Consider the following 24,150-nt stretch of genomic DNA (forward strand, 5'->3'; position numbering starts at 1 on the left):
TTTCTTCCCATATTTCCTTCCTTCCTTCTTTCTTTCATTTTCTCTCTCTTTGGAATCTCTTCTCTTAACTTTATGTTTTCCCCAAGTGATCAGCTGTTTTTATACTTCTCTGCTGGTTCCTCCTAACAGAGTCTTTGCAGATTTTAAAGTAAAACCATAAAGAAGAAAACATAAATAGAATCTTCAGTGATTTCACAGCAGAAAGGCATGGTTTGTATTACTTTCTCTCAGAGGTATTTTTAATGGGGTAAATATTTATTTCCAGATGACCCAAATCTCTTTGTTATGTTTGCTGACAGAAACAGCAGCTCCTCCTTCTTTCTCTCTACAGTAATGAGATTATGGACAGGGATAGACCTTCTTCATACTGCTCTGACAACAGACATTTTATAAACCAGGGACGGGCTATTTCAATTCAGTTTAATTCAAAAAAATAATTATTGGATACTTACCACATCTAGGATATTGTTAGCTGTTATAAATGATACAAAGATAATTAAAACATTGTTCTTCCTCTCAAGGAATTTGTAATCTAGTATGAGGGAAACTGTGTAAATAAATATCCAATCCTGGATGACTGCCACAACATAAAAACACACAAATGTTTAGGAACTCGGTAGACAAGCAAAGGAAGTAGAATAGTAAAGATGAATGTCTCCTATTTGTCAATATTTTACTTCACCTCTGTGTTGTTTTGGGATATATCAAATAATGTCTTTTAAATTTAGAGTTATTGTTACTTTATAATAATTATTATTATTGTCATAGGTAGTGTTAGGTTGTGTCATTTATGTAAATACTTATGGAGTAGTAACATGATATAGTAGTCTACCTCAGAAAGAGATTTATTGAGTCTATGATGCTGAATTATAGTTTTGTAATATGTTTCTAAATTCTTTATGATGGAGTCCCACTCTATCACCCAGGCTGGAGTGCAGCAGCACAATCTCAGCTCCCTGCAACCTCTGCCTCCTGGATTCAAGCGATTCTCCTCCCTCAGCCTCTCAAGTAGCTGAGATTACAGTCATGCGACACCACAGGCAGCTAATTTTTGTATTTTTAGTAGAGGTGGAGTTTCACCATGTTGGCCAGGCTGGTCTCAAATTCCTGACCTCAAGTGATACGCCTGCCTTAGCCTCCCAAAGTGCTGGGATTACAGGTATGAGCCACGGTGCCCAGCCTGTAATATATTTCATTCCAACTTTTAGATAGCTTCTTTATCAGGTGCTGCAATAAATTGTTTGCCCTAGATCGAGGTGGGGAGAGAGCCCTCTTAGGATGAGCTGTCACACAGTAAAAGATAAGATTTCCTGGATCAGTTTTCTAAAGTGACAGGCGTGTCCCCTAATCGAGACAGACAGTGCTCCATTTTGACAAATAGGCCAGACTTCTACGTGTGCATATTTGTTTTGTGTGTGTCAGAGTGAGGGTGAGGTTGAGGAGTCATTCTGTTCTTATTGGAAGTGAATCAGGCATAAAAGTGATAGAGCGCTTGAATGAGATGATTGCAGTTGAAAGACACAGCAATTAAGCAGATTTCAGACTTTAGAGAGCATGTCTTCCGGGAGCTATCCACGGTACTGAACTGCTTCTCCCTATATTGTCCTGTAACCCCGCAAAACAAACCTTCAAACATTTTAAAACCACAAGACATTTTAAAAACTGGCTTTGGTTATTCCTTACTAGACAAATTCTCTAACCTGTGTATTTCTAATACTTGTTATTTGTTTAATCTTGGCTAGGTCAGCCCATTTTTTTTTGTTTGATATTACACATTCATCCATTTATTTATTCAACAAATATGTAGGTACAATCTTCCGTATGTTGGGCAGCCTCCTAGTGGTTAAGGTGCTTAGGTTTCTTATTATGTAATGCTAATTATTATTACTTTTGATTTTTCTGGGATTTACTCTAAGGAAGCAGATTTAATGATTAAAATAATTCTACTTCGTGTGTGTTGTTTGAAGAACTTGGTTTCTGGCCCAAAGATGATGCTTTGTTTACAGTACCTAGAACAGCCCTTTGGCGTATCGTAGACACTCAAGAAATTGTATTCACAGCATAAACATGTTTATTGTTGTGGAGTGATTTTCTATGAAATGTTACAAGGAAAATATATATTTTAAACCAACAAGTAATCTTTGCAAAAAAAATTTTGAATAAGAAAAATATTGTTCTAAGTAATCTAGATGGAGCATACACCTAGCCTTAAAGAGTCTAGAATTGACATGTTGGGACATTCTCATATGTTAAGACCACATTACAGGTTGACCAGAAAACTAGGAAGAAATAGACCAGATACTTCCTGCTCAGGCTTTTATGTGCATATAGAAGCTCAGTGATCTTTTTATTCTGTTTTACTCAGGCTATTCTGTATTCAGGTAGGATATCTATCACCCTTACTCTTCTCTAACCCCATCTTAAAAAACAAAGCGGCGGGGAGTTTTTCTTTTGATATCAGCAACAGATAACCAAATAAGATGGCGTATAATCTTTTTTTTTTTTTTTTTTTTTTTTTTTTTTTTTTTTGAGATGGAGTCTCGCTCTGTCACCGAGGCTGGAGTGTGGTGGCACTATCTCAGCTCACTGCAAGCTCCGCCTCCTGGGTCCACACCATTCTCCCGCCTTAGCCTCCCAAGTAGCTGGGACGACAGGCTCCCGCCACCACACCAGGCTAATTTTGTTTCTGTATTTTTAGTAGAGATGGGGGTTTCACCGTGTTAGCCAGGATGGTCTTGATCTCCTGACCCTGTGATCTGCCTGCCTCAGCCTCCCAAAGTACTGGGATTACAGGCGTGAGCCACTGCGCCCGGCCAGAAGGTGGAGTGCTATTCTTAACTGTCCTTTTGTAGTTCTTTGTTCTAAGAATTTGGAAAGACAAGTTAGTCCTGACTTCCATGGAAATGTTTTTTTTCCAACCAACATGGGTGTAATTCTGAAGGAGAATTCTTTCTTACCAGTGACTCAGTCCCTCTGCAGGGCACAGAATCAACAGTATTCCTAGTGTTTGCAAGATCAGTGATTATATAGGGTCAGTATAGGCAAACTCTCCATTTCCAATCCGTTGTTAATGAAATGTTATTTTTGGTGAAGTTCTGAGATAGACTGAATCTGAGCAGAATAAAAAAAAGTGGAATCAGCCTGAGTTCTAGCTTCTACCCCTATTTCTGTGATATGCTTCCTTATTGACATGTGGGCTTTGAAACTTGGTAACATCCAAATTGTATTATCACTCTCTTGAAAATGTCATTGTTCCATGAAATTGTGAGACTTAACCATTTTTATTGATATCTCAGAGAAACCAAATCTTGAGAACTAAGAGCATTGGAGGATAAGCTCCTTTCCTAGAGATACTTACTCTACTTTTGGTCATGGACCAAATTTGGAGTTATTCCTGTGGATTTTTTTCTCTTGTTCCTTAAGGCAGTGATAGATGCTTGTTTAGTCACCATAAGTTGTGAGAATATGTGGTCTCAATAAAGACCCAGCAATACCTTGTTTTTCTACTCATTATCCAGCCCCAAAGTTTAAGATCTAAATGTTTCCTGGTGAGAATACAAAGAAAAGTGAGCTCTTATAGCCTGTTGATGGGAATGTAAATTAGTGCAGCCATTATGGAAAATAGTAGAGAGGCTTCTCAAAAGGCTAAAAATAGAACTACCATATGATCCAACAATTGCACTATTGGGTATTTATCCAAAGGAAACAAATTCAGGATATTGAAGAGATGTCTCCTATTTATTACAGCACTATTATTTATTTATTTATTGCAGCACTGTATATTTATTTATTGCAGCACTATTTATTTATTGTTAACACTATTTATGGCAGCACTATTCACAATAGCCAAGATATAGAATCCACCTAGGTGTGCAAGCATGAATGAATAAAGAAAATGTATGTATACAGAATGGCTTACTATTCAGCCACCAAAAGGAATGAAATTCTGTCATTCACAGCAATATGGATGAGTCTGGAGGGTATCATGTTAAGTGAAATAAGTAGGGCATAGAAGGATAAATACTGCATGTCCTTACTTATATGTGAGAGCTAACAAAAGTTGAGCTCATAGTAGTAGAGAGTAGAATTGTGGTTATTAGAGGCTGTGAGGGGGAGGGGGAAGAAAGGAGAGGGAACGGTTGGTTAAGGAAAGGAGAGGAGAGGTTAAGAGGTTGGTGCAGGGTTATAGCTGGGCAAGAAGAATACTTTCTAGTGTTATGTGGCACTGTAGGGTTAAATACAGCTGGAGATGATTTATTTATATTTTCAAAGATCTGGGGGAGAAGGTTTTCAATATTCGCAACACAGAGAAATGATGAATGTTTGAGGTGATAGATACGGTGATTACCCTGATTTGATCATTATGCATTACATACATGTATTGAAATATCACTCTGTATACTATAAGTATGAATAATTATCATGTGTCAACTAAAAATAAGAGGGAAAAGTTTCAAAACAATATCTATTTGTTGATTCCATCTGTATGGCTTAGTGATAATGTAATCTTTTGCTGTCTTGCATTGTTCCCATACTGGATTTCATGACTAATATCTTTGCCTTTGACTGATTTGAATAAAAATATGTTAAATGAACAGAGAATCTTGACCTCCTTTCAGAGGCTGAAGGATTCCTTAATTTCTTTCCTCCATTTGCTTAGGAATCAGTGCCATTGACTGTTTGCTTTTAGTTAATACGGTTTTGTTTGCTTAATACAGAATATGTGCAATTTAAGTGTCATATGTACATAATAAGATGTAATCTTTTAATTATATGATATAGCATAATTATTTCCATTTTATATATGACAAAGTTAATGTTTAAGAAAGTTAAATAACTCTAATTAGGAGTCAGGATTGAGAATCCAGACACAGATGGCTCTGACATCAGAATCACTGCTTTAAACCACTCTTCTTTTCTGCTTGCTTTAATATTCCTTTACTTCCTCCATAAAGTGCCACATCAGAATATAGAACAGGTTATTAATGGAAGAAATATTTCAATATTTTGAGTTTTTTGGGTGAATGAAAATTATAGAATTAAAAGCTGAACATCATTTTATTTGGCAGTTTCATCATTATGATTTAAAATAAATGCAGTTTTTGAAGTTTCCTAATTTATTCTCTTGAAATATATTTGGATTGCCACATGCTGTATATTCTAACACTTGGCCCTGGTAGGGTTTATTTGTATATGTGTGGGTGTACTTTAAATATAAAGATCTCACTGATTTTAACACACATTGGAAATATGCATAGGCAAACCCCAAACAACTTTTTATTCAATAGTGTCCATGTATCTCTAAACTTTTGATAGAAATTTGTTCCAATAATGGGGTTACTACATAAGTTGAAGAAAGTCAAACTGAAGCAAAATTTGAAGGCTTCTATATTAATGATCAGTTTTAGGCGATACTTGCCAAAATCTAGTTCAGGATTAGAATAGGCTGTGTTGACATTTTAAGTGAGACATATCAGTTACTCTTTTTCAGAAAGTTAAAATAAATTCTCATAATGAAAAAATAAATGATAATTTTAGATTCTTTTAGAGAATTTACTACCTTTACAAATTAGGAAAATAATATTCACAGTATCCATGATTCCAACCAGTTAACATGTTGGTATATTTCTTTCAGTTATACACATACACATAATTAACATATAATTATATGAATTTATATATAATTTTGCATTCTAACTTTCTATTTGACATAATAACAGTCTTATTTTGCACTTTTATGATTTTCCAATGAGATATATCTATTAGCCATTTCTATTTTTTGAGTTGCCTGTTTTTTTGTGTATGCATAGATATATGTACGCCTGTATATATACACGTATGCATACATATATATGTTTTTTGTTTTATAAAAAGAGATACCATATTTCTATTAATACCGTCACAGCTCTGATCCTTCTTTCTATTGTAGAGCTTCTATGCATGTATTAAAATTTAATTTAGAACCAATCAAGGAAGAGGTCAATCTGAATAAGATAATATTTGTAAAGTTCTTGCCTGTATTATGTATAGCAACTAGAGCTACTTTATCCACAGCGATTTGAAGCCATGTTGAACCTATACAGGTTAATTGATGCAATTCTCTTGGAAACATCGTCATCTGTTGGCCTATAATGTTTTAAAAACCTTGGAACAGTCTCATTGTTTTAAGTATATCTCCTAGTTTTTTCCTTTAATTTGTTTGATGATATTTTTATTTTCTTAAGATCATCTTCAGCTGAATCCTGACAACCCTACTACATGATCATAACAAAAAAAGCAATGAGGAGTCTCTATACCCTTTATTTTCATAGGAAAATATTCTAATATCCACAAATGTGATTAAAGGATAGAGCAGGTGGTGGGGCGAGGTAACATCTGATGTGAGAACGAAGAAGCAAACAGTTGTTATTTTTACTCTGGTCAGGTGAAAACAAGCAGTCATTACATGTCTAAATCTTGGGTATCTTTGGAATCATTTTCAGCCACCGTAGTAAGTTGTACGTGCTTGAGTGTTTTTAAAGCATGTCTTATAGTGACCAAATGTTTCTACCGCATTTATCTCAGTAAAGTTGACAGGATTCTATTAGGACGATCTTCACCTAATGAGATAAATATTCTAATTGTAATCATCCTCTTGGAATGCATATCTCTTCTGGGAATTAAAAGTGCTTTAAGTGGTGTTGCTAAACAAACATTTCTAAAGAGTAATCATAAAGTTAAATGCCTCACAATAGCACAATAGGCTTTTTAGTTGACCTGGTTTTTAATACTTTTTTCATTGCAAAATTTCTTATTCTGGAAAGTTTGGAAAAATGAGGAAAAAAATAGAAAGAAAAATGTCGAATTTAAACATTTTGTCACTACCTAGTTAAAATCGGGGATAACATTGTGATTTAGATTTCTCCAGTCTCCTTTCTTTTTTTTTTTTTTTTTTTTTGAGATGGAGTCTCGCTCCATCTCCCAGGCTGGAGTGCAGTGGTGCGATCTCGGTTCACTGCAAGCTCCACCTTCCAGGTTCACGCCATTCACCTGCCTCAGCCTCCCAAGTAGCTGGGACTACAGGCACCTGACACCACGCCCGCCAATTTTTTTGTATTTTTTTTTTTTAGTAGAGACGGGGTTTCACCGTGTTAGCCAGGATGGTCTCGATCTCCTGACCTCGTGATCCACCTGCCTCGGCCTCCCAAAGTGCTGGGGTTACAAGTGTGAGCCACCGTTCCCGGCCTCTCCAGTGTCCTATCTCAATTCTTATTCAATTGTTTGTTAACTAGATTGGAATCATACTGTGCATATTGTTTTATAATTTGCTGTTTTGGCTGACATTTGGAAAAATTATTTTAGAAAAAACAGCCAGTTTTGTAGATGAAATGGTGTTTTGTTTCTATTGATTTTTGATTTTTAAGTTGCTATTACTTCATGAAGTTAGCGTCTTTCTTGTGTATTGGCTATTCTCTTTTCTTTTGCTATAAATTGTCTGCTACATCTTTTAGTTCATAATAATTATTGAGTCATTTTCTGTTTAAATATAAAGTATTTTTCTCATTTGTCGCTGTAACATAATCCATTTTTAAGAAGCAGAGCATTTTCTTGACAGAGTTTTGAAATATTGTGTGACTTTATGGCTAGAACACAGAAACATTAGTTAGAATTTCAGAATCATTTGATCAGCTCTGGCTTTGAGCCTCTGATTCTACTTGTAGTCTCCAAACCAATCTTTGGTATCCTTCTGTAGAGATGTAAGTTGTTATCACCAACTCAACATGAAATTGTAAGAATTTATAACAGTGTTTTCTAAAATGATTTCTTTGATTTATTCAAAGAAATATTATCTCTGATAATATATTTCAGTATTTTTCATATTGCTCAATATCAGACGAAAGTTCTTATAAAAGTCCTGATTGTTTCAGCAGTGATTTGCATGCCATTAGCAGGTCATTCATCCCCTTCCACTTTGAGGCTCAAGTTCTACACTAGATTTGATTTGTTGGAGGGAGTCTACAAACTCTGCTTTCACTAGAAAGACATGATCTGTGTGCTTTGCTGCCATAGTGGGCCTATCCACATGGCTCATTCTCTGTAACACTAACTTCCAGGAAAGCTCTTGTATCAAAATTCATCACCGGTATTAAACAGTGTCAATTATTTTTATCACCTGTTGAAAGCTTAAATGCCAACAGAAATTTGTGCTTCACAGGGCATTGGGTCCTCCATTTATATTTTTCAAATGTGTAGTATACTCTTGCTTTTAGTCGTCTATTACCCAGTGTTCTTTTCGGAAAATATTTTTAAAGTTAATTATATACTCACAGATAATAGTGCAAGCAAGTTTCCTCCATGTTCTGCTTTCCTTTTTCTGACTTTACTTCATGCTACATTCCTTCACAAATAGTAATAAGAATTTATTTCTACTCAGAATGAATGTTCCTCACAGTGGAGAGAATTTGCCACTACAAAATGCCTTCTACTCTGTGTTTAAATTCCTCGTACATACAAGCAGGTTTTGGGTGTTACATTTGTTCATAGAGGTATGAAATTGAGAGTCATAGATTGAAATGTTTTTTATAGTAGAGACTCCCAAAAAAAGGCACAGAAAAATGGTTGATATCTAGTAGGAGTTATTTACATGCTGCTATTTCTGATGCTTCCTATTTGTTTCTTCTGAAAAAGTCGCCCTTCCTATGTCTCAAAACAGTACACCTGTAAAACCACATCCTACTGGGCATAATTCTACAACTGCTTCTATTCTCAATGCTTGTGTTGCATGCTTTTGGACCCTAAGAGAAATCAGCAAGCTATAAACCCAGGACCAAGAAGAGCATATATCTCTTGGAAAAATAGCATTTGAGTGATTGAATAAAACAGGCTGTTTTGGGGATCATTCCAAATGCAGGGAACAATATGGATCTGTGATACTTGAGTTGTTGGACTTTGTAGAATATCAAAGATGTTCTGCTTTTCATATTCAGATTTTTAAATAGAAGGAAATAAACAATTTTTAAAATGTTTGGAATTAAATGGGGGAGGTCATCTGTAACTGTCTTTGTTGATTTTTGTGGGCATCATAGCACAGAAGAGTTCTCCTGGCTTAGCATTCTGGTATTGCTCACATATCACCTATATGCTAATTTGAGAGCGTTCATGAGTGCCATGAAGGATGAGTCAGAATGATAGACAGTATGCTGACTTTTTCTCCTCTTATTGAATTTAGTCTGATCTGCTAGTGAGAGAAATAAAAGGGAAATAAAGCAGGGAGTATAATAGGGAAACCTATTTTCTCCAAATGTTGAGATATTTAAAAAGTCTTTGTTCAGTGTACCTGCAGTTATAATCTTTCCAGAGATTCATGAGATGTCAGGGCTAGGCAAGACTTTAGAATTCTATGTAGTAAACTCTTGTTTGGGGCTGGGAAAATGGAGGGTCACAGTTAGAATAATTGCCTAAAGCCACACCGACAGAGAGCTGGTAGTGGAATCCCTGTTTTCTATTCACCTTCCTACTCAGTTGCACTACAAGTTTATCCTAATTCAAGTAAGCTTAGACATCACCTTGGGTAACTTTCTGATTTACCAAATCCACTAGTGGACCATATTGAATTTGCTTCCAACATGAATACTCTTCATTTCTCTCCATCCACACTGCTACCCACCAAAATCCCATGCCTTGAATGTAAATAATCTTAGAGCTGATCTGTTTGCTTCTGTAACTTCCTGCTACTCATTCCATAAGCAACAGAAGAGGCAAAATGACCTTTTAAAAAGTATAATTTGATCATTATTCTCCTTTACTTAAAATCCTAGAATGACTTCCATTGCACTTAAAATTCCAAATTTCTTTCCATGGCCTAAAGGGTCTACTTGATCAGTGTATCGCCTTTCTCTAGAACTTAATCTACCTCTGACCCTTGTGTGCTATGCTGCAGCCACTTTGGCCTCCTTTCTTTTCCCCAAAATTGAAGACACATTTCCATCTCAGGGCCTAAGTGTTTGCAGTTAGCTCTGTTTGGTGTTCTCTTCTCCTAGCTGTTTACAGCTTTCAGCCTTCTGCAGAGATGTTCCCCAGCTACCCTGCCGAATATCGCCTTTCCCCACCCAATCCTTTCATTACCCTATTTTTTCATAGCAGTAACTACTAATTAATTATGTCTTTATCTATTGTCTTTTCCCAGTCTCCAACTAGATTGCAAAGTCCCTGAGGGCAGAGGTCTTGATGTCTTTTCCATTAACAATATCTCGAGTAACCACCAGCAATCTGCACATAGTAATAACCTGAATATTCCTTTAATGAATGAATAAACTGAAAACCCTAAAGTTCAGTAATACTGGCCTCTGTGTAGAGTTTCAGAAATATGCCAAATATGCTTTCAAGCATCCCAGCCTGTCTAGTGTATCCTTTGCTCTCTTGGCCTTCTGAGATCACTTTTAATTGGCATCCTCTGAAGTTGTTACTCTCAGTCATGCTGGTTGATACCCCGAATGGATAGGAAATGGATAGGCATTTTTTCTGTCCATCTCTAAACATCTCTGATTGGGCCTAATATACCTCTCAGGCCTGCTCCTCTGGCCAGGACCCCTCTTTTTATGGGAAGTAGGGAGACCCAGGAACACAGAACCTATAATATATTAGAACCTGTTATATATCTCTCTAGAAAAAACAGTTATTTTAAGGAACGTGATTGCTGGGGATGGCAAGTCAGAAGCCTGTAGGGGGAGGCCTGCAGGCTGGAAACTCAGGTAGCAGTTGATGCTGCTGTTTTGAAGCTGACTTTTTTCTTCTATGGAAAGCCTCAGTTATTGCTCTTAAGGCCTGCCAAGCAATCGGATGAGGCACACCCACATTGAAGATTATCTCCTTTACTTGTGGTCAACTGATTATAGATGCTAACCACATCTAAAAAATGCCTTCATAGCAACACCTTGATTAGTGTATGATTAAATAATGGGACATGATAGCCTAGCCAAGTTGATAGAAAACTACCCATCCCATCATGCATTTGTGGTATTGGAGAAAGGAAATGCTTCTCCATTGTTACTACTGGGACTGTTACTGCTGAGACACACCGAAGAGGAGAATTTTTAGTTTTTAGTTTGCTTTTTAGCAGAATTCAAACTTAAATATAAAATTAACCAAATTGTCAGAAAGGACTGAAGGTTATCCTTTCAATTCTGAGTTTTTTATGTAAAATTATTTTATTATTAGCAACAGGTTTTGAAAACATTTATCAATTATATTCTTATATATTGGTGACTTTAGGTAATGAATAAATCTGGATTTATCTTTCTTTATAATAAAAATATGGTCTGATCAAAGTATATAAAATTGAAATAAATATTGTCTTATTTGTGCTTTAAATTAATTGTAGTATAATATTAATAGGATATTATATAATATTCAGTCATTTTAGAATAGGAGAAACATTTTAGGGTAGGATAAACAAGACCGTATCATGAAATTGGAGATTTTAATTGTTTTGTAATATTAAATTTTACCTCTCATGAAAATAGAGTAGATAATTATTATGGATTATGAAACAGCATAATTAGTTGTAACAGTTTTACCTTGAAGAAAATATATCTTTTTTATAAGCAGAAAACTTCATTTTGTTTTCTTTAAAATGAAGTGAATACCGGCCGGGCGCGGTGGCTCACGTCTGTAATCCCAGCACTTTGGGAGGCCGAGGTGGGCAGATCATGAGGTCAGGAGATGGAGACCATCCTGGCTTACACGGTGAAACGCCGTGTCTACTAAAAATACAAAAAGTTAGCCAGGTGTGGTGGCGGGTGCCTGTAGTCCCAGCCACTCGGGAGTCTGAGGCAGGAGAATGGCATGAACCCTGGAGGCGGAGCTTGCAGTGAGCCGAGATTGCGCCAGGGCACTCCAGCCTGGGCAACCGAGCGGGACTCCGTCTCAAAAAAAAAAAAAAAAAAAGATGAAGCGAATACCATCTCTACTCTCAATGTATCGTGGACGATAATAACTATGCTAGTATTTCTGCATAGTATTCTTAAAGAATTCTGACTGAAAATATTTAAATGAAATACACATAATCACTTTGCCACCTAATGCCCATCAATCATTGCCAACATTGACTTTTAATAAAGACACATAACCAGAGATGATTTTTAAAAATTATGGATAAATTACATTAGAAAATTTAGCTGGAGCAAATTATATTTGATTATTATTAACCTGCCATAATTTATATTCATTAAATTGCCAAATCTTGATTATAATAGTCAAAAAGAAAAGGTACATGATAATGATCTAGAGGTAGAACACATGCTATCAACTGGAAAACTAATTGTTCAGCATCCTAAGTGTATTTGTTGCTTAATTATATATATAATTTCTACAACAAGTGGAATGATTTACATGAATGTCAAATAACTGGTTTATAAATGAAACCTGATATTAAGCTAAATAAAATATTGGCATATAGTGTTCACTTATGAGCTAATATTCTTACCTCTAGCTTCATTTACAAATTAATTATGCTACAAATATATTAATGTTCCACAACTCTTTCACACTTCCATCAATATCGAGTTTATTCCATTACAATGTGAAATTAAAAAAAACTGTAGAATAATTACTTCTGCTTCAGAAAATATAGATTACCTATCTTCCAGTAAGATGCTGCAATTTATTTAGATAACTGCATTTATTGCATTGATTTTGAAAAATTGCTCAACCTAATACCCTTTCTTCTTTGCTAATTCCTGGGGAAAAGGAATCCTTTTCATTTTGATCCAAATGACCATTAATCATATTATAAAGTGTAATAATTAACCCTTTTTTTAAGTGTCAGAGACACATGAATAGTGATTTTATTTGGTTTCAATAATCAAGTAAATTAAGTGATAAAATGGAGGCCATAATTAAGTGATCTTGTTTTCTAATAAGACCAACCCATTAATGTGCATGTAAAGATGCCTGTCATCAATTTAACAGCTTTCTGAGTTTAATATACATTAAGAGTTTTATTTTTGGAACAACTTAGTAATTTTTAGAAACTTGAGTACAAGTGTTGGCAAAGGTTCTATAAAATTCTGTCTACAGAATATGTGGAACACAACCTTGGGTCGTATCTCCAAGGAAAACTACCATGATTAAAAAGACAATGCTTTGTCAAATTCACTTGTTATCACAATCTAATTGTGTTAAATGCCGGCCACATTCTGAGTAGACACTTTAACTTGGCTTCCCTTGGGAAATAGGAAATGAAGGGCCCGAAAGAACTAGAAGCTGCCTCTCAATTTTCTTTCAACATGGCAAAAGCATTTGCATTTATCTGTGCCCCTCTCTTGGCTACACTCTCAGCTTTGATACACTACTTGAGCATGTGGAGGTTTACCTACTGAATGTGACCCTTATATGAATAATATGAGACTTTTGTATCAACAGTAGTGATGGTTTTTGTTTTTAAGTCACATTTTATTGTATGTCTTCTCTACCTCTCACTATATGACAAGTTTAGTGAAGGCAGGGTCTGTGGCTATCTTGTTTATTATTGTTTTATATCCTGGGGGTATCACAGTGCTTGATCATAGAAAGGGCTCACTAAATATTTATGGAAGGAAAGAGAGGAAAGAAGGGAGAGTGAAAGAAAAAACATTCAATGTTCTCACTCTTAAACCAAGAAAATAATTGTTTACTTTATTTCATTGTAGTAAGAAAACTGAACATGCTACTACCTTCAATAAATTTTTAAGTCTGCAATACAGTATTGTTGACCATAGGAACAATATTGTATAGTGGATTTCTAGCATTTGTCTTTCTTAACTGTAATTTTGTGCCCGTTGTTTAGTAACTCTAAATTTTCCTCTTCACTCAGACCCTGGCTTCCCCCCATTCCACAATTTGATTCTGTGAATTTGAATATTTTCATAGAAAACATTTTATGAGTAGAATTATGCAGTATTTGTTTTTCTGTGACTAACTTATTTCACTTAGCACAATGACCTCCAGGTTCATCCATGTTGTTGTATATTTCAGAATTTCCTTCTTTTTTAAGGCTCAAGAGTATTCGCGTGTGTGTGTGTGTGTGTGTGTGTGTGTATCACATTTTCTTTATTCATCTGTTGATGAACATTTAGTTTTTTTCACAGTCTTGGCTATTGTGAATACTGCTGCAATGGACATGGATTTTTAAGCGATAAAGAATAAAGCTCTTTTCATCTTTTAACTGGAATTATTTTTTAGAAAATATTTTGTTCCAATTTTATGATTTTTTTGCTATTCTTTCATGATTAAAAGTTATGTTTCATTATTATCAGGTTGTATATTTACATATATATTTTGTCTGATGTTAATAATGGCATGTTTACTTTCTTTGTGTAAGCTGATGTATGGAAAATATTTTCCTAGCTTTTATTTCACATTATTTCATCTTTTGTTTCAATCATTCATCTTGTATATTTTGGCTTCCTTCTTCCCTTTTACTCAACTTAGAATTTTAGAGTGAGTAACTTTTAAGATAAAACGAGTTTAACAGATAATTTAGCCCATTCACATTTGTTGTAATTCATGATATTTGTGTGTGTTTGTTATCTCTTCATTTTTGAATTATTTTGCTTTTTAATACATCTTTTCTCCATTTCTTCTGCATTACCTTCCTTCTTTATTATTAATTGAGGTTTTTTGTGCTGTTCTTCTTCCATCTTTTTTAAACTAATGAATTACAAAATTTGCTTCTTTTTATGATTTGTCTCATAGTTATTGTTAAAGTTTTGAGACCTGTGAGTAAAAATATTTTATATTAATACCTAGACTTATAAATCAGTACTAATATCTTGTCTTGAACAGGACTTCATCCCTAGAATACTTTTTATTTCTACATCATCTGCTTTTAAATAATCAGATATTAAATCCAGATTGCCATCGTTTCATTTTTAAACTTTGCAGCAGAGATTTTTTTAGATGTGAACATAAGGTGTCTATTTTCTTTGCTTCTTGTTATTTTGTGTTGTCTTTCTCTTTCTTGGGTAATTTTTTGTTTTGTTTTGTTGAATCAGTAAGCTTTTCAGAAAATGCCTGTAGGTGTTAAATTTCTGAGCAGTTATATATCTGAAAATATCTTTGCTCTTACATTTGGTTAATACTTTGGCTAGATTTAGAATTTAAAATTATGAAATGTTTTTCTACAGACTTGTGAAGACATTCAATATTTGTTTCAGCACATGGCCTTAGAAATGGGATATCTATACCAATCTAATTCCCATGTTTCTGTAAGTAATATACCTGTTTTTATCTTCTCTGAGATATTTTGGAATTTGCTCATTATTCTTGGAGTTTTGAAATGTCATCAAAATATGTCTAAGTGCTGGTCTTGTTTAGTAATCTTGTATACCTCAGGGGAAATTTCAGTCTAAAGATGTATATCTTTTCCTTCAGTTTTTTTTTTCTCTCTCTCTCTCCATATATATATATACACACACACACATATATATACACGTATATATACGTGTATATATATGTGTGTGTGTGTATATATATATACTTTTTATGTCTTATTAGACAAACGTTAGGATTTCTGTTTCTGTTCTCTGTCTTAACTTTTTTATGCTCTCCAGGCCATCATGTGCTTGTCCTATAATCTGGACCAAACCCAAGGTACACATTTGTAGCTCACAAATTCTTCACTAGTCACCATCTCTGACTTATCCTAAATGAAATTTTATTTTATTTTTAAAGTGATTATATTTTAAATGTTTCTTTTTATAAAATGCCAACCAGTTTTTCTTAATGGCTGTAATGTATTGAATCCCTTAAGCTAGTTCATTATTCCTATTTCAAGATTTTTTTCTACTCCTTCTATTAATTGTTTTTTTTTTTTTTTTTTTTTGAGAACTAGTTTTGTGTTGTTTGCATTGGAGTAGCATATACAAGCCATTGTTTCTGACCCGAGTGCTCTCTTTTAGAATTTTTTTTTTTTTTAGGGTCAGATCCCCTCATCTAGTACCTCTGCCTTTAACCGCAGTCTCATGAATCCAACTGCTATTCAGCACCTTCGACTCAGATGTCTGATAGGCCTGTCAATCTTGGGAGACCCCTAGCTGAACTTCCACAGAAGGATGGGTCTGCTCCTTCCCTAGTCTCCCCATATCAGGAGATGATGGTACCCTTCACCCTGTAGCTCATGCCAACCTTGGATTCATCCTGATACCTTTCTTGTCCTACATTCTACATCCAATGTATGAACTTGTGCTCACTTTTATGTCCACCTTCAAACAAATACCATATCTGACTGTCTCTCACCACTCCCCAGCTACATCCCTAATCCAAGTCACCATCATCTTTCACTTACTCTATTGCAGCAGCAATAGACCAATCTGGGCTCTGCTTCCATTCTTTTCACCCTATGTTTATTATGTATTCAGCGGCCTCAGAGAAATGTAAAACATAAATCAAGTTCCATCACTCCCTGCAAACAACAACAATAACACCCCTTATAATGGCTTTAAGTCCTAAGCATGACCAATACAGCCATATGACATCAAGGTCCTGCTTACTTCTCTGACTTTCTGTTCTATAATTTCTATAATGTCTATCATTGTTCACTGTGTTTCAGTCATATTGGTCTTCTTGCTATTTTGGGGAGTATGTTCCCACCTCAGGGCCTTTGCACAGCTGTTTCCTCACCTAGTAGCTCTTTCTCTAGATATTACTTGGCTTCCTCCCTCCCTTTAATTGTTTCTCACACAAAATGCACCTCCTCAGAAAAGGATTGCTCTCATCCAGTTATCATCCACTGTCCCTCTTTATCCCTTTTCCCTGCCCTTTTTCTTAATAACATGTAACGCTGCCTGGTGTGACCAAGATAGGTTTGTTTGTGTTTGTTGTTGTTCTTCAAAATAGAAACATGACCAGGGTATGGGACTGATGACTTCTCCACCAGCATATCCTCTGAGGGTGCTGAATCATTTCTGTTACATAGTGGGTGCAGAGGAAATATTTGTTACATGAGGCTATATATCAAAGGGCTTCATGAAGGTTTTGCTTTACTGTGAATCTGGAGTCAGATAATTCTTTTCTTTATTTCTCCTCTGTTTTCTTTGTAGAGATCATGAATATCTTAAGCTTTATGGTGCCTCTCTCTCTATAGTTTGGCTATGAGCCTCCCCGAGGCAGATGGTTAACTTTATTTAGAAAGAGGGTTTCAGGACTTTATTCTAGTGATAAATACCGTGGCTGCTAGTCATAGAATAAACAAGGGCATGAGAGAAGGCAGCCAACTAGACCAGCTGTTCACACCATGGTCCTTTCATAATTATCCTGGTTACTGCCTCTTGGCTGTGTGTATTGCTTGACTCCAAGTGTGGGGTGTCTTTTGTAGAGCTTTATCTGGAGCTGTTTTAGGGAGAATCAATCTCACTTCTAGTAGATTTCTCCTGTGTAAGTGTGGGCTTTGATTTCCTCTACTTCTATTTCTACTAAGCCCATTACTTATATTAATCCCATCTACTTTCAACCTTCAAGGACTTTTATTTTTCAAATTTCTGATCTGATAGTTAAAATTTTCCCCGATGTGCCATGCACTTATTCTAAAATATGATTTTTTTCCTGGTGTCAATAAGATTTGGCGTACAGGGAAAGACAGATATATATGACTTAAATTTTGTCTTCTTTGCCTCTATTGTATGTTACTGTTTTTATCTTCTGTGTTGTTGTTGTTGCTTAACAAATGTAGCTACACATTTATATCTTATCACTGTTTTCTTAAAAATAATTTGTTTTGTTCTTCTCCCTTTTATATTTAGAAAATATATAAAAAATGTGGACCATGCCTTTGATCAGAAATTATTATGAAAATTGTTGTTTAGAATGGGTTTGAGGGTGGAAAAGTTTATTAAGAGATTGTAATTTAACGAAAGAGAGGTATGAATATTCTGAGAATTGAGGTGTCTTATGCATTAATTGGATTGCTAGATGGCCCCACTGATTTCCTGTTTTTCTTGTTGTGTTAATCTATATATTGAATTAAGCACCTCAAACTATGAGTTATTAGATCTCATATATCTATATCCCTACAGCAATTTCTCTAAGCTCTGGTCATTTCTGCTACTTTGTAATCTAAAACTGCTTCATAACTTCCTAGATAGAAATAGAATATGTGGGTGCTCAGAGTATCAGATAGACCCCATATATAATAGCTATGAAATTTCAGGCTCTATAATGGATTATAGGATATTTTTGAACCTTGGTAGGTTGTAGGATTAGTTGCTTAAATACATAGTACCATAGATTGCAAATGTTTAAAAATCTTGATGCTGGAATTTATTAGAAAAACAGGAATGAATACAGTTTGAGAGGCTAGAACCGTGGATTTCAAATGCTAGCCTGTATGAGGGTCCCTTGGAGGGCTTCTTAAAATACAAGTTGCTGGTTGTCATTTTCAGGGTTTCTGATTTACGAAGTATAGGATGGGCCTGAGAATTTGCATTTCCATTAAATTCCCAGGTGATGTGGCTGCTGCTCCTGGGACAACATTTAGAGAACCGCTAGATTAGACAGTCTCACAACAGGGATTTCTAGGGACAGCTTAATGGTTACTTTATGATTTGAAGCTGGAATACCCAATTAGGGGTTTTTCCAGTCTCATTTCATTTCATTTCATTTGCTTCCTTTTTTCTTTCTTCCTTCCTCCTTCCCTTCCTCCTCCCCTTCCTCCTCCTTCCTTTTTTATCTCCTCTCCTTGCCCATCCCCTTTCCTCCCTTCCCATCCCCTCCCATCTCTTCCCCTTCCCTCCCCTCCCCTCGCTGCTCCTCTCTTCTCCTCTTTCTTTCTTTGCCATTTCAGGTGCTTTATCTCTTAAGCACTGCACTGCTTTGGGTTATCCATTTAAGCTTAGAAGGAGAGCAACAGAAAAGGAATTGAAATGTAAAGCAGATATCAAGAGAGCAAAATTTGTCATTAAATTGGAACTAGCAATTAATTTGTCTATTTATTCATAGTCTAAGTGTGATTATCAAAAATGCTTGAGAATCAATAGAACCACATGGGTTTTTCAAGTTGGATAGGACCACTGAAGCTACCTGGTGGAAACACATCATTGTATTGATGAGAAGACTGAAGCAAGAATATGAAAAGCATCTGAACCAATGTTTTCTTTTCCACGTTCTCATCACTCTCTGCTACCCACAGCTGCCCGTCATGGATATACTATATGTTGTCAGCTATATTTTGATTACTTCTCTGTATATTTATCATCATAGTTTACTAAAATTGTTAGTATTATACCTTTTGCATATAAGAAAGGATGAACATTTCTAGTTCTTAAAATGTAAGAATAAGTGATTACATATTACCTTGAAACAGTATGGAACACTTTTTACTTTAAAATATTTTTTTCAATTTTTGTGGGTACATAGTAGGTGTATGTATGTATGGGGTACATGTGATACTTTGGTGCAGGCATGCACTACATAATAATCATTTTCCAGAAAATTGGGTATCAGTTGCCTCAAGCATTTATCCTTTCAATTAATGCTCTTAGTCTGTTGGTATTAAAACAATTTTTATTTTCTGATGAGAAAGTTGCTGTCACTTTGATCATTGACTTTGCTACAGGAATTTTCTTTTCTTTTCTTTTCTTTTCTTTTTTTTTTTTTTTTTGTTTTTTGAGACAGGTCTCCCTCTGTCTTCCAGGCTGGAGAGCAGTGGCACAATCATGGCTTACTGCAATCTCAACCTCCTGGGATCAAGTGACTCCCCTGCCTCAACCCCCTGACCCTCACTATCTGGGACTACAGGTGCACACCACCACGCCTGGCTAAATTTTGTATTTTTTGTCAAGACAAGGTTTGTCATGTTGTCCAGGCTGGTCTCGAACTCCTCGGCTCAAGTGATCCACCTGCCTTGGCCTCCCAGAGTGCGGGGATTATAGGTGTGAGCCATCATGCCTGGCCAGGAATTTTCTTGAATGCTTCAATAACTTTATTCCATTTAACTCTCACAACAATCCCATCAAATCAAGTATCATGATTATGCCTCATCATTCATTTCACAAATTAATAAGCAAAGTCTTAGGGGGTTATCACTTCCCAAATTATTACATGCCAGTGAAAAACCAAAGTTTGAGCTTGCACACAAACTTTGAAACACTATTCAAAAGCAGTGTTTTCAGCACCTGATCTTTATTGCCTCACAGAGTTTTATACAGATACAAAATTATGAAATGTAGCTGGAGCCAGGAACTATGACATGGAATATACCTGGCATACACATGGTCTTTGTCTTTTCCTACATCTGTGAACTTGTTGAAGCTTTAGATGTCTTCCCAGCTCAGTGATCATGAAGACGTCCTCACTGATGAGTCATCTTTACTTGTCATCTCTAGCTACCTGGAATAAAACACCCAGTGTAGTGTCTGGGATCCAGTGGGCATCGTGGGTCAGTTAGTTCTCCAGCCCCGGTTCCTTTTCTGGTTGCCTGAGCTTGGAAAATTCATAAAATCTCTTTGGACCTCAGTTACGCAACTGTGAAATTGTGCTATAGGGTGACTTGAAACCACTTTGTAGATTTTTTGGGAGAGCTAAATTAGGTAATGCATGTAAAAGCATTTAGTGCAAGGTCTGGCACATAGGATATATTTGCTAAATATTCGTAGAATCAGATGAATAACTCTCATGAAATATTTTGTTAAACATTGTGATTGTTCACTGGGAATATTATATGGCTGTGTGTGCCACTGTCCGTGTTTCCCCTAATAATTAATAAATATTAAATAATTTAAAATTAAATATTAAATAATTTAAAATTAAATATTAAATAATTAATAATAAATATTAATAAATACCTTTGGCAAGTATATACTATGTCTTCAAAATGTTTCTTTTCCATTTAATGTTTTCATTTATCTGCAACATTTCTTAAGGCTTATTTGCATGTGGGTAAAATTCAGGCTACAATAATAGTCAAGGAAGTATATTTCTCTTGTTCTGCTCCCATACAAATGGTGCCCCCCTGCAAGCCTCTTCTGAATTATTCCTGGACACCCAAATAAAAATGGTAATTTTTCTTTCCTTTTCTCCTGGATTCTTATTCTAACATCTGCTAGGAGGATCCACACCCTGTCCTAGGCTAGTAGTGTACAGACCATGGTTTTGATGTCTGTGCAAAAGGTACAGGTTTGTTTGCATCTCTTCAATTTTTTTCATTGTATGAAAATATAAATAATATAAAATGTACTATTTTTAAGTATACGATTCACTGGTATTAAATGCATCTATAATGTTGTGGAACTATCACCAGAATCCATTGCCATAGCTCCTTTAATCTTACAAAACTGAAAAGTTGAACTCTTTACCCATTAAGCAATAACTCCCCATTCCCCCTCACTTAAGCCCCGGGCACCACTATTCTACTGTCTGTTTTTATGATTTTGGCTATTCAAAGTACTTCATATAAGCGGTATCATGCAGTGGTATCTCATCTTTTTGAGACTGGCTTATTTCACTTAGCATAATATCCTCAAGGTTCATCCATGTTATAGCATATTTCAGGGTATTTTTCCTTTTTAAGACTGAATAATCATCCATTTATAGATATACCACATTTTGCTTATCCATTCATCCAGCCACGGGTACTTGGGTTGCTTCCACTTTTTATCTATCATGAATAATGCTATAAACATGAATGTACAGATATCTCTTTGAGTCCCTGCTTTCGGTTCTTATGGGTATATACCCCGAAGTAGATTGCTGCATCATATAATAATTCTGTGTTTAAATTTTTGAGGAATCACCATACTGTTTTCCACAGCATCTGTACCATTTTGCATTCCCACCAACAATATACAAATGTTCCAATTCTTCGCATTCTCGCCAAAATTTGTTACATGTTGTTGCAAAAGTAATTGTGGTTTTTGCCATTAAAAGTAGTTACTTTTGCACCAGCCTAGTATTTTTTTTTCTGAGTTTTTTTTTCTTTTGTTAGTAATGGGTGTGAGTGGTATCTCATAATTTTTATTTGTATTTCTATAGTTGTTATTGATGTTAAGCATCTTTTCATGTGCTTACCAGTCATTTCTGTATCTCCTTTGGAGAAGTATCTGTGTATTCAGCGTTTGCTTATTTTCACATTGAATTATCAGTATTTTTTGTTGTTGAATTTTAGGAGTTCTCTATATATTCTGGATATTAATTTATTGTCAGGTACAGATTTGGCTTTGATGGCACTAAAGCTACTTCTTCTTACCTTCGAAGTCACAGTACCTGTAATGATTGCTTATGTTTAGCAAATTAACATCATTAGGCTTTCTCTGTCATTATATAACCCCTTCATCCTAAGACTCACACATGAGCACCTCAACTGAGGCTGGGGATGTGTGTCCCTGTTGTTGGGGGAACACATGTCCTTAGCTCTGACTCCCTTTCTCCAGGGTCATTTCTATCCTCTCTTCCGATGACGGTCTACCCCACAGATCCTAAGCCACATCCAAGTCACCTGAATTCCAGCATGATTCTTACTTAGATTCTTAAGTTTAAATGCTTGTAATTCCTTCTTCCTTTCCTCTCCTTATTAAGTACCTTTAAGGAAGTAGAAAACTCTCAACATTTAGAAACACTTACAAGCATATGAATTTCCATATTATTAATGCCTCGTGACCAAGATGTCCTGACACATTTATATGGTCCTGTAAAAGTTTTATAAATAATCTGGAGCATATTATTTCTTTATATCCTCACTTTGTGAACTAGACAAGGTAGATATTAAAATTCCAAGTCTCAGGAAGTTTGAATGATTTTTCTTAAGCTTAGTCAGCTAATTAGGAGCAGAATCAGGACTGGAATTTAGGGCTTCTGGCTCCACTTTATCTCTGAGGCTTGTACTATTCTACTGGGATATCATTAGAAGAAATGCCAAATGAATGCCATTGCCTCTTCAGCCCTAAACACAAAGCCCAGTTAAGTGTTTCCCTGACATTTTTCCTGACATCTATAAAAATTCATATTTTATTTTTATTCACATGCTGATTGATTTAGATGTTATGAAAATTAAATAAGTTCCAAAAGGCAGAAGATAGGCTATACACATATTTTTAAAAATTTGTCATTGTTCAAACAATATTGAATATAAAATTGAAATGTCCCTCATTATAAAAAAAAATTCTCTAAGAGTGACTAGTTATAAGGTTATATCTTTTGGCATGATGCACCTCTAAGCAGTGCTTGCATAAAGTCTCTACCAAAGCTGACAGAGCTTCCCTAAGGCCTAAAGAACTTGGCAAATGTTGTTGAACAAAAATGACAACAATGAAACTGTGTAGGAGGATTCTGCATTAGTGCACCTAAGAATGTTCTCGCTAATTTGAGCACTTCTCACCATGGAATAATGCTTTTGTTCCTCTCTGTCTTTTTCTGCTGTCTCACAGAGACTCCTAACAGGGCTCCCTGGACCAGGCTTAGACATCAATAGGGATGGACTAGAGGCATTCCATGGAGGTGACAATTACAGAAGATCAGAAGTGCCTAGCTACACACTCTATTTTCTTCTAGCATCTGAAATTATTGACTTGAACCCATTTGTGGGGTCACTAAGCCACCTTCATATAATATTTATTACATGTGCAAAGTCAGAACATATGGAGAGCATTTGCATTTGAATGGGGGAAACATGCTGTTAGATAAATTAGAAAATCTTTATATTTGCATTTTTCTTTATTTAAAAAAATCAATCTGTGGTATAGTAGAGCTAGGAATATTCCCTTTTTGGTTGACTTCTTCACTCTGTGTTTAAACTTTCTCAGCATTGAGGCATGTGATTAAAAGGAGCTATTTTCCTAATACAAACAAAAGCATTGAACATCCTGTGAAACAAAAGTTGTTCATTTTAACTTGCGTTATATGGAAATGTGACATGTTTTAGATTTGTGTAAGCTCATGTACTTGAAAATCAGACTTGTCTAAAATTTCTTTTGTAAGATATTAGAGAACTTTTGAATTATACCTCTTATTTTTGAATGTACATTCCTCAGAGAATCATCTTTATGCACAAATAATGTTTATTTTATATTTTTAATCTACTTTAGCAGACCCACCTGATTCTTCTACATGTAAGGTTGAAACAGTTTTGAGTGATAAAGAACTGATTTTATGGAGCAACTAATGATTTTGCTGTTGCTACTTTTGTGCCAGCAAATACGTAATCCA

The 24,150-nt window shown here is 35.4% G+C and overlaps 1 protein-coding gene across 10 annotated transcripts in view, besides 1 other annotated feature; it reads left to right on the forward strand.

Annotated features, from left to right (window-relative positions):
* NRG1 (neuregulin 1) overlaps positions 1–24,150 on the forward strand; it is a 1,134,802-nt gene that overhangs the window by 154,677 nt on the left and 955,975 nt on the right. The gene's annotated exons all lie outside the window — the stretch shown is intronic.
* Positions 1,392–1,686: a silencer, noted in NCBI's record as "tiled region #7305; HepG2 Repressive non-DNase unmatched - State 24:Quies, and K562 Repressive non-DNase unmatched - State 10:DNaseD". NCBI's record gives its function as "represses a minimal TATA promoter and a strong SV40 promoter by Sharpr-MPRA in HepG2 and K562 cells {active_cell/tissue: HepG2 | K562}" and the evidence as "EXISTENCE:reporter gene assay evidence [ECO:0000049][PMID:27701403]".

The sequence above is a fragment of the Homo sapiens genome, chromosome 8 (genome assembly GCF_000001405.40).
Source record: "Homo sapiens chromosome 8, GRCh38.p14 Primary Assembly".
Taxonomy (NCBI): Eukaryota; Metazoa; Chordata; class Mammalia; order Primates; family Hominidae; genus Homo; species Homo sapiens.